This window comes from Homo sapiens, chromosome 3 (assembly GCF_000001405.40).
Source record: "Homo sapiens chromosome 3, GRCh38.p14 Primary Assembly".
Lineage (NCBI taxonomy): Eukaryota > Metazoa > Chordata > Mammalia > Primates > Hominidae > Homo > Homo sapiens.
In genome coordinates, this window is record NC_000003.12 from 169896402 (window position 1) to 169911402 (window position 15001).

The window sequence follows — 15001 nt, forward strand, 5'->3', positions numbered from 1 at the left end:
GAGATCACAGACTCTGCCCGGGGTCACCAACACTCTCAAGGAGGGCATGAAGGTAAGAAAAAAAAAAAAAAAAAAAAAACACTGCATTGAAACAAGGGTTGTAGCAGAGGTAAGCATACTCTGATGACTTCAGGTCAGGCTTGATCCTACTGCAGTGGTTCTTACCCAAGGGGGACCCAGGGCCCTATTCTAATAACAAACGTTTGGCAGCATCTCCTTAACATCCTGAAGAAGAATTTATAGAAAATATAACTTGTCTGCACACCTCCAAAAAATCAGAGGACATTTAGGGTAGCCAAAATGCCCAGTATGATACTATAATGGTGGATACATGTCATTATACATTTGTCTAAATCCACAGGATGTACAAGATCAAGAGTTAAACCTAATGCAAACTATGGACTTTGGGTGATTACACTGTGACAATTTAGGTTCATCAGTTGTGACAAACGTACTACTCTTGTGTGTGGTGAGGGGGGCGGTGTTGATAATGAGGGGGGCTATGTATGTAGGGGACCTGGGGCATATGGGAAGGAAATCTCTGTACCCTTCTTTCATTGTTGTTTTGGATCTAAAACTACTTTTTAAAAAAGTCTTTCAAAGATCAATATAGGCCGGGCGCAGTGGCTCAAGCCTGTAATTCCAGCACTTTGGGAGGGTGAGGCAGGTGGATTACTGGAGGTCAGGAGTTCGAGACCAGCCTGGCCAACCTGGTGAAAACCCATCTCTACTAAAAATACAAAAATTAGCTGGGCATGGTGGCACACGCTTGTAATCCCAGGTACTCAGGAGGCTGAGGCAGGAGAACCCCTTGAACCCAGGAAGGAGAGGAAGCAGTGAGCCAAGATCACACCACTGCACTCCAGCTTGGGTGACAGAGCAGAAAAAAAAAATACATCAATATAATGCCCTGACTGTAATATGAAGGAGAAAACTAATGAAAGTAATCTAAAAAAAGTCATGCATTTTAATATGCAAATATTCCAGCACAACTACACAGAAAGACAGAAAAGCCAGCCACTTGTGCCTGCTTATATTTAATATGTTTGATTTAATTTATATATATTACTTTACTATTTTATTACATTTCAATATATTTAAATTATATTTAATATGACAAAATATTTTAATTTATATTCAGTGGAACATATATATATATATATATATATATTTTTTTTTTTTTTTGAGACAGTCTTGGTCTGTCACCCAGGCTAGAATGCAATGGCATACACATGGCTCACTGCGGCCTCCACCTCCTGGGCTCAGGTGATTGTCCTGCCTCAGCCTCCTGAGTAGCTAGGACTAAGGTGTGCACCACTATACCTGGCTAATTTTTAAATTTTTTGTAGAGACTGGGGTCTCACCATGTTGCCCAGGCTGGTCTTTAATTTCTGGGCTCAAGGACTCCTTCAGCTTCAGCCTCCCAAAGTGCTGAGATTAGAGGCATGAACCACCATGCCTGGCCAATGCAATATTTTTGACTTTTAAAATATTTAACATTTTGAAATCAGAATTAAGTTATTATATATTTCACAGTAGTATATTGTGAGGTTTTAGATAGAGAGAGCCATAGAATGTCTAGGAACATAGAATGATGTGATGTGTCTATGTGGTGACTCAAATAGCATAAATGGCATTGCTCTTCCTGATGTGATGTTTTTGCAATGAACAACTCTTAGTAAAGTTTGGAACAATCGGCCGGGCGCGGTGGCTCACGCCTGTAATCCCAGCACTCTGGGAGGCCGAGGTGGGCGGATCACGAGGTCAGGAGATCAAGACCATCCTGGCTAACACGGTGAAACCCCGTCTCCACTGAAAATACAAAAAATTAGCCGGGCGTGGTGGCGGGCACCTGTAGTCCCAGCTACTCAGAAGGCTGAGGCAGGAGAATGGCGTGAACCCCGGGGGGCGGAGCTTGCAGTGAGCCGAGATCTCGCCACTGCACTCCAGCCTGGGCGACAGAGTGAGACTCCGTCTCAAAAAAAAAAAAAAGTTTGGAAAGGAAAAAATCAATTTCCCCTGAACTTATATCAGAATTGAATACCTGATAATTCAATGTATACTAAAATCACACAAGAGAAAGCTCTGTGTTTCATGTAAAGTGGAGTTCAATTCTAAGCTCTGCTAATTCTAATTTATCTCCATGAATTCCCAGAAAATCATCTTAAAATTTTGTGTGAGGCAATACAGTTCTTCGTTGAGCAGGGCAGTCCACATACTACAAGACATACTTTATCCCTGGAACCACCCATCAAATCCCATAACATTCCCCAAACAACCAACCAACCAGAAACCCTCCGTAGGTTTCTTTCTTTTTTTTCTTTTTCTTTTTTTTTTTTTTTTTGAGATGGAGTTTTACTCTGTCGCCCAGGCTGGAGTGCAGTGGCACGATCTCGGCTCACCACAACCTCTGTCTCCCGGGTTCAAGTAATTCTCCTGCCTCAGCCTCCTGAGTAGCTGGGACTACAGGCTCCCGCCACCATGCCCAGCTAATTTTTTGTATTTTTAGTAGAAACGGGGTTTCACCATGTTGGCCGGGATGGTCTCAATCTCCTGACCTCGTGATCCGCCCGCTTCTATCTCCCAACCCCCATAGGTTTCTAAAATACCCAAGGAGGCACCTCATCCCTAGTGAAAATCCCTGGTCTGAGATCTCTTCTAGTTCCGAAATTATGTGGTTCTTTTTATATGCTATATCCCCAAACTTAATCTAATTAATTATTTGTAATACCTATTAAGTGCCTTACCATTGAAGGAGGCAAAAATAACCTTGTGTCTTGTTCCTTTGCAAAGATTTTTACAGGCTTATCCCTAATGCCCAGCACAGCCCAACACGTAGGGTCTCAATAAGTACTTTTGGATGTATGCATATATATGGGGAGGATATTCCAGCAGTATAAGACATGAACATTTTCCTTACATTCTACATTGCCACATTTCCAATACATTCTAATTGGGAAATTAAGAATAACATGTGACAACAGTAAAAGATCAGTACAAAATAATATTTCATTAAGGGGTGCATCTTGTCGATTAAAGCTGTAAGTATAATAAAGTGATAAGAGAAATTACTGAGAAACTCAGAGAAGCTTTCATAATCAGTAGAATTGGAGCTAAGGCATGAAGGAAGGGTGGAACTTGGGTGAGAAAGAGGGAAAGCTTTCCAGAGGAACTGAGAGGAAGCAGGGCCCAGAGTCAAGAATGTGCAAGGTCTGTGTGCAGAAAGGGCAACAAAGTTCACACTAACGAGGAGTGGAAACGTTAGGATGAGGTATTCAGGGGCCAGATTTAGAAGGGACTGGAATACCAATTAGTTGAAACTTGTTATTTGAAAAGTTTTAATAAAGGCCAAGCTATGCACTGTCTTAGAAACCCAAGCAAACTGCTTACCTTGGGGGGTAAAATGAGTGTGGATGACTGAGGACCATACCATTGGAAGTGGTAGAATAGAATAGTGGTTACACACTTAAATTTCAAGTCAAATAGGCCTGGGTTCAAATTCTGGCTCTGCCTCTACTAGGATCCTGACCTCTTGAGCTTCAGTTTCCATTTCTAGAATGAAGCAAATAATAGTGGCTACCTCAGAGGATTATTATAAAGATAACATAATATGGTGCATGTGAGATGTTTGGTGTGTCGTAACAATTTGATTACTGATTAAGTGTTGGTGACAAGGAATGTTAGCTGTATATATATCTCCAGACTCGCTGGGAGGCTGCTGAGGGTGTGGGGAAGGGTGGGGAGAGGATCCTAGGAGTAATGCCCTCTATCCTTCCTTTTATTATTTGGGATTCATAGAAAAGCTATTTTCAGGGGGTGATGATTAAGGAAAGTTCTTTGTGAAGACATGATTTTCTGTCTCACTTATTGAACTTAGTGTTTGTTCATAATTTGTTACTTATTTTGTTGCTTTCAAAGAAAGGAAAATATTTGCGACAATGACTTCCTATATGTCTCAAAGGGTGTGGCACAACTACTGCATACAATGAAAACTCATGATTTTTCTTTCCTTGCAGTGCAGGTGAGAAAAGACTTCTACAGAGAGGGTGAGCTCCTTAATTTATTTTATCCAATCTTTAGCGATATTATTTGGGTCAGCATTTCTAAAGTTGCATGAATATAAGAATTAGCTAGAATACTTGTTAAAAATATAGATCCCCAGACCCCTTCTCTGGAGAGTCTAGTTCAGTTAATTTGGGCTTCTTGCTAAGGCAATTGTAAAATGCAGTGATAATAGCTGATGATTACTGAGTGTCTACCATGCATCCGTCACAGTTCGAAGTTCTTTTTATGTATAAACTGAGATCCTTGCCATAATTTTAAGAGGCAGGTACTAATACCATCTCCATATTAGAGATGAGTAGCTAAGCAGAAAGAGGCTAAGATTGCAGAGCTAGTAAGTGAAAGAACCAGGATGTGAGCCATCTAGCCTGGCTCCAGAGCCCATGCTTTTAACCATTACCCTTCCCAGCTCCACCTTATATACAGATGCCTATGCTGTAGTTTGAATGCTTTCTTCACATCACCAGAGCAAGTAAGGGTGATGTTCTGTTTTGCACATTTGGTACCACATTTAAGATAGAAATGCTTTTTTAAGGGAAGTATGTAAAAATATATAGGAGAGAAAAAAAGTTGTTTTTTGTTTTTGTTTTTGTTTTCAAGATGGAGTTTTGCTCCTGTTGCCCACGCTGGAGTGCAGTGGCACGACCTTGGCTCACTGCAACTTCTGCCTCCTGGGTTCAAGCAATTCTCCTGCCTCAGCCTCTGGAGTAGCTGCGATTACAGGCATGCGCCACCACACTCAGCTAATTTTGTATTTTTAGTAGAGACAGGGTTTCTCCATGTTGGTCAGGCTGGTCTTGAAATCCCGACCTCAGGTGATCCGCCCACCTCAGCATCCCAAAGTGCTAGGATTATAGGCGTGAGCCACCACGCCCAGCCAAAAAGGTTTTTAAAAAAGAAGAAGACATTAGCTAGCTGTGAGATAACTTCAACTGAGCTAAATATGTGTAATTGAAGTCCCTAAAGGAAAAAGGAGGAATACAAATTACTTGATAGAGGAATGGCCAAATTTTTTTGAAGATTGAGGACAACCATAAACCTACAGAACCAAGAAGTTCAATGAGCCCCAGATACAAAAAGCACACACAAAAAAACTAAATAGTGCATATTATAATCAAATTGCCTAACGCCAGTGATAAATTTAAAAAATCTTAAAAGCAACTAGAGGAATAAAAAGACACATTATCTACAGTGAACCAAAGATAAGAATGACAGCAGACTTCTTGCTAGAAACAATGAAGCAAGAAACAGTGGAATTATACCTTTATTTTGTTTTTTGTTTTTTAATTTTTGAGACAGGATCTCACTCCATTGCCCAGGTTGGAGTGCAATGGTGCAATCATGGTTCACTGACACCTTGACATTTTGGACTCAAGTGATCCTCCCAGCTCAGCCTCCCAAGTAGCTAAGACAACAGACACACACCACCACATTCAGCTAATTTTAAATTTTATTTTATTTTTTTAAGATATAGGGTTTTGCTATGTTGCCTAGGCTGGTCTTGAGCTCTTGAGATCAAGTGATCCTCCTGCCTCAGCCTTCCAAAATGCTGGCATAACAGGCATAAGCCCAGCCAAACAATACCTTTAAAGTACTGGGAAAAAATCCTGTCAATTTAGGCTTCTACACCAAGTGAAAATATCTTTCTAATATAAAGGAAAAACGGATATTTTTTTCAGACAGATAAAAACTGAAAGAATTCCCCACAAGCAGGCCTGCATTACATGAAATATTAAAGAAATTCCTTCAACCAAAAGAAAATGATACCACATAGAAATCTGGATCTACTCAAAGGAATGAAGGGCATTGAAAATGTTTTCATGGTTAGAGATGACAGTGCGTATCTCCTTGATCTTAATGGAGCTCCTCAAGCATTGAACCATTTTCTACATGGACACAGCAATAAATTTAGCACTGATGTCTGATGCGGGATATTTTGCAGCTAACTCAAATTCTATTTTGCCAACTTTAGTACTGTTGATCCTAAGTCATCCCTCAAAGGTATAAGCAACCAGCTTAGAAAAAGGTTCAATGATTGATGCTTTCAAGTAGCTTTCAGTTTCTTGAAGATAAACTTGGACTCATTCTGGTCTTGGCAAAGACCAAACTTTTTTTCTTTTTCTTTTTTGGTGAGACAGGGTCTTGTTCTGTTTCCCAGGCTGGAATGCAGTGGTGCCATCATGGCTCACTGCAGCCTTGACCCCCAGGCCTAGGCAATCTTCCACCCCAGCCTCCTGAGTAGCTGAGACCACAGGCATGTGCCACCATGCCAAGTTATTTTTTTTTTATACAAGGACTCACTCTTTTGCCCAGGCTTCAATCCTGCCTATAGAATGGGAAAAAATATTTGCAAATCATATATCTGATAAGTGGTTAATATCCAGAATATACAAAGAACTTCTGCAATTCAACAACAACAAAAAAGCAAGCAACTTGATTTTATTTTGTATTTTTGACCCCTGAACTTTTTATTGGCCTCCTGCTCCCAAAAGGTACCTTGCTTCTGCTGGCTTAATGTCTCAGAACTCTCGTCTCATTGATCTCAGACACCACTTTGCTGTCCACTATCTTGCGGGTGGTGGTCTTTTGGATGGTTTGCATGGAGTTGCTGTTGTCCAGGGCATCACCAAGATTGAAGTCCTCCCCGTCATCCAGCAGGCCATGGTAGGTGGCGATCTCAGCCTCCAGCTTGATCTTGATGTTCAGCAGGGCCTCATACTCCTGGGCCTGATGCTGTCCCTCTGCCTGGGATGCAGCAGGACCACCTCCAGGTGCATCAGGACCTTATCAAGCTGCATGGTGTAGCGGGCCTCTACCTCCCTCAGGCTGTTCTTCAAGCTAGCCTTCAGATTTCTCATCTAGTCCAGGTCGATCTCCAAGGACTGGACTGTACATCTCAGCCCTGTGAACGTCATCTCAGCAGCTCTGATCTTGGAGGACTGCACAGTAACCACTGTGGTGCTCTCCTCAATCTGCTGGGACCAGTACTTGTCTAGTTCCTCTCAGTTCTTTCGAGACAGCTCATTGTATTGGGCCTGGTTGTCTGCCATGATCTTGCTGAGGTCCTGAGATTTGGGGGCATCTACCTCCACAGTCAACCCAGAGCTGGCAATCTGGGCTTGTAGGCTTTTTACTTCCTCTTCATGGTTCTTCTTCCCGAAGAGCAACTCCTCCTTGAAAGCCTCAATCTCTGTCTCCAGCTGCAGCTGAGTGACATTGGTGTCATCAATGACCTTGCAGAGCCCACGGATGTTGCTTTCCACAGACTGGCACATGGCCAGCTCTGTCTCATACCTGACTCTAAGGTCATCAGCAGCAAGATGAGTGTTGTCAGTCTGCAGAGCGATGCTAGAATTGTCCACAGTATTTGCAAAGATCTGAGCCCTCAGGTCCTCAATGGTCTTGAAGTAATGTCCCAGACTCTGACCTGGGGCCCGTTGTTCTCCAGGTGCTCCCAGATTTTGTTCTCCAGCCTCCAATTCTTAGTCTCCATGCTCCTCACCCTGTCCACGTAGGAGGCCAGGCAGTCATTCAGGCTTTGCATGGTCTTCTTCTCATTCTGGATGCCCCCCATTCCTGCCAGACCCCCGCCCATCCCCATGGCCAGGCCACTGAACCCCAAGCCGTCCCGGAAGCTGGTGGAGCAAGACACGGAGATCCGGGAACCAGAAGCCTCGGCCCCTGCATAGACACTGGACACGGTTCTGATCGGCTGGGCACCGTAGCTGAGCAGCTGGGTGGAGCCCAGGGACCGGTAGTTGGTGGAGAAGGTGGAACGAGTGGTGAAGCTCATGCTGTCCGGGAGGAGAGCGAGAGGACAGGACTCAGGTTTTGCCTACAATGCAACCTGATCTTAAAATGGGCAAAGGACTTGAAAGCTATTTCTCCAAAGAAGATATACAAATGGCCAATGAGCAGGTGAAAAGATGCCCCACATCCCTAATCATGAGGGAAGTGTAAATCAAAACCACAACAAGATACCCCCTTATGCACAATGTGATAGCTATAATTAAAAACAACTACAACAGAAAATAACAAGTGTTGGTGAGAATGTGGAGAAATTGGAACACTTGTGCATTGCTGGTGGGAATATAAAATGATGCCGCTCCTGTGGAAAACAGCATGGCAGTTCCTCAAAAATGAAAAAATAGAATTTTTAAAAATTAAAACTTTAAAAAATGATCCAGAAATTCTGCTCCTGGTATATACCCAAAAGAATTAAAAGCAGAATCTCAAAGAGATATCTATGCACTCATGTCTCATGTTCACAGCAGCATTAGTCACAGTAGTCAAGAGGTAGAAGCAACACAAATGTCCACCTGTGGATGAATGAATGGATAAAATGTGGTATATACACACAATAGAATTTTATTTGGCCTTAAAAAGGAAAGGAATTCTAACACATGGTACTGCATGGATGAACCTTGATGACATTATGCTAATTGAAACAAGCCAGTCACAAAAGGACAGATATTGTATGATTCACTTACATGAGGTACCTACGGTGGTCAAATTTGTAGAGCTTATAGAAAGTAAAATGGCGGGTACCAGGGCCTGGTGGGGAGAGGGAAAGGGAGTTGTTGTTCAATGAGCATAGAGTTTCAGTTTTGCAAGATAAAAAGAGTTCTGGGTATCTGCTGTGTAACAATGTGAATGTGTTTACTACTGAACTGCACACTTAAAAATGATTAAGATGGTAAATTTTATGTTATATATACTTATCACAACTTTAAAAAAGATGGCCGGGCACGGTGGCTCACGCCTGTAATCCCAGTACTTTGGGAGGCCAAGGTGTGCGGATCACCCGAGGTCAGGAGTTGGAGACCAGCTTGGCCAACACGCAGAAACCCCGCCTCTACTAAAAATACAAAAATTAGCTGGATGTGGTGGCGCATGCCTGTAATCCCAGCTACTTGGGAGGCTGAAGCAGGAGAATCACTTGAATCTGGGAGGCGGAGGTTGCAGTGAGCCAAGATCACGCCACTGCACGCCAGCCTGGGAAACAGAGCGAGACATCATCTCAAAAAAAAAAAAAAAAAGGAAAGAAAAGAAAAGATATTTCATGCCATGCGACACTCATAAAAGTGATTCATTATTTAGTTATAAAACAATGACATCTGAGATTGCTTTGAAAAAGAGAACTGCTCACGTCAAGAGTCAGAGAGATCCCAGGGTTCACTTCTGATTTTGTCAATGATCCAGAGTGTATGAAATGCAATTATTGTATCTTTTCAGGATTTGTTCAAATGCTATTACTGCTTTGTAAAATATCTGGGTATTTGGGGTGTGAATAGGATAATATTTATAAAACTAGAGTCTCTTTACCAAAAAAAGAGTTTAAACAGAGAAAAAAATGTTATCAGTAGTGTCATTATGCTACTTCTGTAAACATTATCATATTATTAAAAGGAAATCTGTCTATATAACTAGGCTGGGCTAGATATCTAAGCGTGATAGGCCCTTTGTTACAGCAAGTAATATTTAGTTTCCAGAAACCAGTATTTAAAAGCCTGCTTTGTACAACTGTTAAAGTCTATTATTAGAAGGATTTATTTTTGGCACTGGATCCTGGAGCTTTGGCTAATAGCAGTCAATGGAGTAATTCTAGCCTAATTTTGCAAGTGTTCTAATGACAGTGAAAATATGTTACCCATGAACATAATGACGCTCAGCAAAAGAGCTCAACATTTTATTGAGCCATAAGAGCATAATAATTGCAGTTCCCATTTTCCATAATCATGCTTTGTGGGGAATGTTTTTATTTGGAGAAATGCAATCATTTTTGGAAACAAATTCCATAACAATTAATATCCACATAATAAAAATGCATTCAATTCCAGAAGTTTAATTCCAGAAGCCTAGATTCAAATTCCCCAGAGAAGTTTTTATCTTGCGATCTTGATACTAAAGGAAATAATCCCAACAACAGCCAGTTTACAAGTGGAATTGTTTAGATGATCCTTTTAAATTAAAATTTGCCCATTTGAGAATGAAATGTCATTTATTCCTGTTTCCCAGTCAACTTTCTTTTTACATACCTTATCAGTTATTTTGCATGCTTAGTTTTTATGCTATCTCAGTAGTGAAGAAGGAAGAACAAGGGAATCACATAGCAGAAACAAGGGTCCTTTGCCAAAACAAAAAAAAAAGAAGGCATAGATTATAAACTAGAAGCAAGAACTATGTCTTCAGCATACAGAGCTCATGGTGCTCAGCATTTTATGGTCATTAGAAAGCATTATTTAAAATTAAATGATTTTTAAAAGCACTTTACCACGTGGAAAATTTTTTAAGTATTATTTTTGTTACTCAGAGCCTGTGGCTTTCTAAATTTTAGCAATTTTTTTAAAGGGAATATTAATGAAAGTGAGACCATTTTAAATTAAGGCAGTTAAGGAAAATGACAATGAAAACCTCTCTGTTGACTGTCTTTCTTACCTTACCATTTCCAAATTGTTGTTCATTTGTATAATCTATATGAGAAAGAGCTGATTCAATGGAATTGCTTTTATAACAACAGTATACTTCATTGAAATGATTATATGCAATTGATTATAAACTGTTTGTTATTTCTATGTCAATTATTTCCCTAAGCAAACACTTTCATTCACGTAAGGCTTATGTAAAATACAGCCTTCTGTTAATTGTTAGAAGCATTACAAAACACATATAACAATATCAGAATAATTTATTTAATGCTACTATATTTTTAAAAAGTGAACCACAATCTCATGAGATAGAGATTTCAATTTTTCACAGTTTCCTTAGATTGTGAAATAAGCACCATCTACATCTGGGCAAAGAAAGAGAAGTACAGATGAAGAGGAAATGTTTCCTATTCTTTCTTCGGAAGTCGTTTGTTTACATGAAAAAAGTTTCTTTGCAATGAATCCGATTACATTCCATTTGTATATTTACATGTTTATCTCCTAGAAAACAAGAACTACACAGTGTAGGAGAAAATCATTTCAAGTACATTGTGGGTCAGAACTGTGCGCTTATCAAAACAAATGATCATATAAAATAGTTCTAAATCAATCTTTATTTTTCAATATATCCTTACTATATTTACAGAAGTTACTGATGTAAGTCATAACAAAATTTGCAAGCTAACTTTACATTTTTCCAATAGATGAGATAATTTAAAGATGTGAAGATACAAAGGCAGCTGCTGCTTCAGATGACTCAGAGATGGAGCCCTGAGGTCATTCCCCAAGGAGGGAGAAGGTGAGAATTCCTGTCATCAAGGAGACTGAGGTGGCCTGGCTTTGAGTCTCACATTGTTTTTTTTCACCTACTTAGTTGAGACATTTGTCTTCAAAACTAAACCTTGTTGAGAGAGAATGGGTAAAGATTTCAGATCATCTCCACTGGTTAACATACTAAGAGCCAGGACTAGAAGACAGGACCACAGCTGTATATAAGGCAGTCTCATCAAGTCAGGAGAAAGTTGGGCTATTCTTTGAATCCAGGGACATTCAAGGGTACTCTGGAGTCCAGAAGAGGGGAGCTGTGTTAGATGAGTAGAGGGAAAAGCTAAGTGCAGAAGGGTTCTTGCCCCCACGTTTTGCATGGTTTCCTAGAAGAAAACCTCTCAGCAGTGTGCCCTGGCACAACCTAGGGTTGCCAAGGCCAGGCAGAGACAGGCTGAGTTACCTTTCTTGAGTGACTCTGTGTGGTGTGGAAGGGACCTAGAAGTGCCTGCATGCCCTTGGGCAATATAAGAGAAGCTGTTTCTGGGAAGCTTGCTAGGGTGGGTCACCAAGGCTAGGGCAAAAATAACATGTGCCCAAGGCTACAGCGAGGACCGCGCAAGCCAAGGGATGAACAGGCATCAGGACCAGACCCTAGAGCTCTACTGTGTCCCTGTCACAGCAAGGGACAACATGATGCTGAGTCAGCCAGGATGACCTCCTGGCAAACAGACCACGATGATGTCTGTGTCTAAAGCCAGAGCCTCCAGCCTGAGGCAGCATCAGGAGACTCAAAGGGCAGTACATGGGCCCTCAACACTCTCTGATACCCCATCCTCCACTTTCCCATCGCCAGGACACGTGTCATCTCACGTGTCATCTTGGGGAAGAAAGGGAGATGAATTAAAAATCCAAAAGAGACAATTTCATCTTGGAAGAGACTATGTTACATGTGAAACATTGTCTCCTTATATTGTTGAATAAGTTGGAATTGACCAGATTTGACTAAATGTAGTCTTCACCTCTTACCCAGAGAGTAGGATTTTGGAGGGATACTAGATCAATTGCAGGAAAGTAAAAAGGCTTTTCTTTGTACAGAGTGTAGGGCGCAAATTTACAACACTCCTGAATGACTAACAAATAATCCCCAAGGCCATTGCTGGTGGCTTATTGTCACCTGTTCCTCTCTTCCGGTGGAGCTTCTTCCAATTAGTCCCAAAATAGCCAGAGACCTGTGGGCCCTCCCACTCCTCCGCACTGTGATCCCTCTCATTTAGTGGGTAATCACCTCCAGAACTGACTGGTTTGTTTGCAACCGGAGGCTGGCTGAGGTGCCCAAGCAGGAGCTGCCTGCCCCCGGCTGCGTTAGGAACTACCCCTTTAGATGTTGCACTGCGGGGAGAGGTTGTCCAGGAGCAACTGGGGTGGGTGAGCAGTTAGGGGCTCAGGGCAGTGGCTATTTTCCAACCGGTGTGGGAAAATGTCAGTATTTTAACAATCGGCATAGCCAGACTGGTATGCACTAACTGAATACAAGGAAGTTCCTACCTTTTCTCTCCCACTTCCAATCAGCCTCAGACTCTAGAAGCCTCTAACTCACCTCATTCCACCTGCCAGAGTTCCTTCTTTAACACAGTCTCAGCCCCACCATCATAGCAGGAGCTTGTGTGGGGAGTAAGAGGAGTAACAACCGCAAGTGAGGGTCTTGGGAACTCACCGGAGCTGAGTCAGGAGTAAATGTCGTTAATGAACCCCACTGATAACACTGATCACATTTTCCAGAGAAACAGAAATATAAATGGTGGCTCTATGTTGGAATGAGTACCGCTGTTACACTGTTAGATTGATGTTTATGGGCTGGTGCAAACCTAATTACTCCTTATGATGTTGCTTCTATGAAAACAATACATTTATAAGTTTCTGTTGAACAATGTATAAGCAAGTCTTTCAGATACAAGCTCTTCTAATATGAGACTACCAGAGTGATTACAAACAAAGTATATGCATTAGGGCGGGGCGCAGTGGCTCACACCTGTAATCCCAGCACTTTGGGAGGCTGAGGTGGGCAGATCACAAGGTTAGGAGATCGAGACCATTCTGGCTAACACGGTGAAACCCCGTCTCTACTAAAAATACAAAAAAAAAAAAATTAGCTGGGCATGGTGGCGGGCGCCTGTAGTCCCAGCTACTCAGGAGGCTGAGGCAGGAGAATGGCGTGAACCCGGGAGGTGGAGCTTGCAGTGAGCTGAGATCACGCCACAGCACTCCAGCCTGGGTGACAGAGTGAGACTCTGTCTCAAAAAAACAAACAAACAACAACAACAAAAAAAAACAAAAACTGTATGCATAAATATTATAAATGCTAATAATTTATGAGACACTTCAAAATGCATATACAACACAAGAAAGACAGTTTAGTAAAAATTAGGGCAAAGGGAAAATAATGTTAGGAAAAATAAGATGAAGCCATAGATCATTTCTGGTTTTAAAATGCATGTCTAGGCTGGGCATGGTGGCTCACGCCTATAATCCCAGTACATTGGGAGGCCGAGGTGGGTGGATTGCTAGAGTCCAGGAGTTCAAGACCAGCCTAGGCAACATGGCGAAAGCCTGTCTCTACAAAAAAATACAGAAAAAAAATTAGCCAGGCATGCGGTCGTGCACCAGTGGTCCCAGCTACTTGGAGGCTACGGTGGGAGGATTGCTTGAGTCTGGGGACATAGAGGCTACAGTGAGCCATGATTGTGCCACTGCACTCTAGCCTGGGTGGCAGAGCAAGAACTTGTCTCAAAAATAAATAAATAAAAATATAATAAAATGCATGCCTAAAGGCAGGTCCTGAACTTCCTACTAACCAACACAAAGAATGCAACACACTAGTTACGTGATTCCTGAGGTTTTATTTTGGCCTTATTTTTCAGAACAACAACAACAACAATAACAACAACAAAACAATTGTCCCTAGTACTACAAGCTGAGAAAAATTCCTCCCATGGATCCTCAACAGAGGACTCTGTGCAATATAGTTACCTAACATAATGGCTAATGTTTAGTGAGAACTATTCAAGCATTTTGTCTACCTTGTTGCCTTCCCTTTCCCAAGAAGGGCTCTTCTGAGATGAGGAAACTAAGGCTCAGAGAAGTTCAGTAACTTGGCCAGGCCATACAGCTAATGAGTGGTGGTGCTGAGGCTTATTGAGTCTGTTGGTCATCTAAGTCCCTGCTGTTGACCACTGCTTTATGAACAATAACCCTGGAATAAATACAGTCAGTTCCACATGCTATTTCTTATAATGAGTTCAACAGCCAATGATAAAAATGTGTGTCAACAAAGGAGCAGGTTACCTTCAAACTGGAAGCCTAAAGCATTACTTGAAACACAACTTAAATTTCTTATATTCAATTCTTATTTTGTACTTCCTACTAGTAAATTACTAGGAATCAAAAAATATGGATGTTCTTTTTCAAGCTATAAATGTTTCTCTAGCAAATATAACAGGTCACATTTTCAAAATTCCGTGTTTTCCCTCTTATATAGATCACAGCTCTCACACAGATGATAAAGGGTTTTCTCACTGCCTGTGAGAATTAAAGTACAGTTGTCCATTATAGAAGCTTCTTTTTAAAATAGACTGCCATCTTTCATCAAATGTTTCAGCTCTGTGGAAAATAACTTAGGTTTTTTCCTACTCGCAAAAGAAATGTTTCCACTTGAAACCTGTTGGAAATATGGAATAGGCTATATA

At 41.4% G+C, this 15001-nt stretch overlaps 1 pseudogene; it reads right to left on the reverse strand.

The window, feature by feature from the left end:
* Positions 6516 to 7897, reverse strand: KRT18P43 (keratin 18 pseudogene 43; annotated as a pseudogene).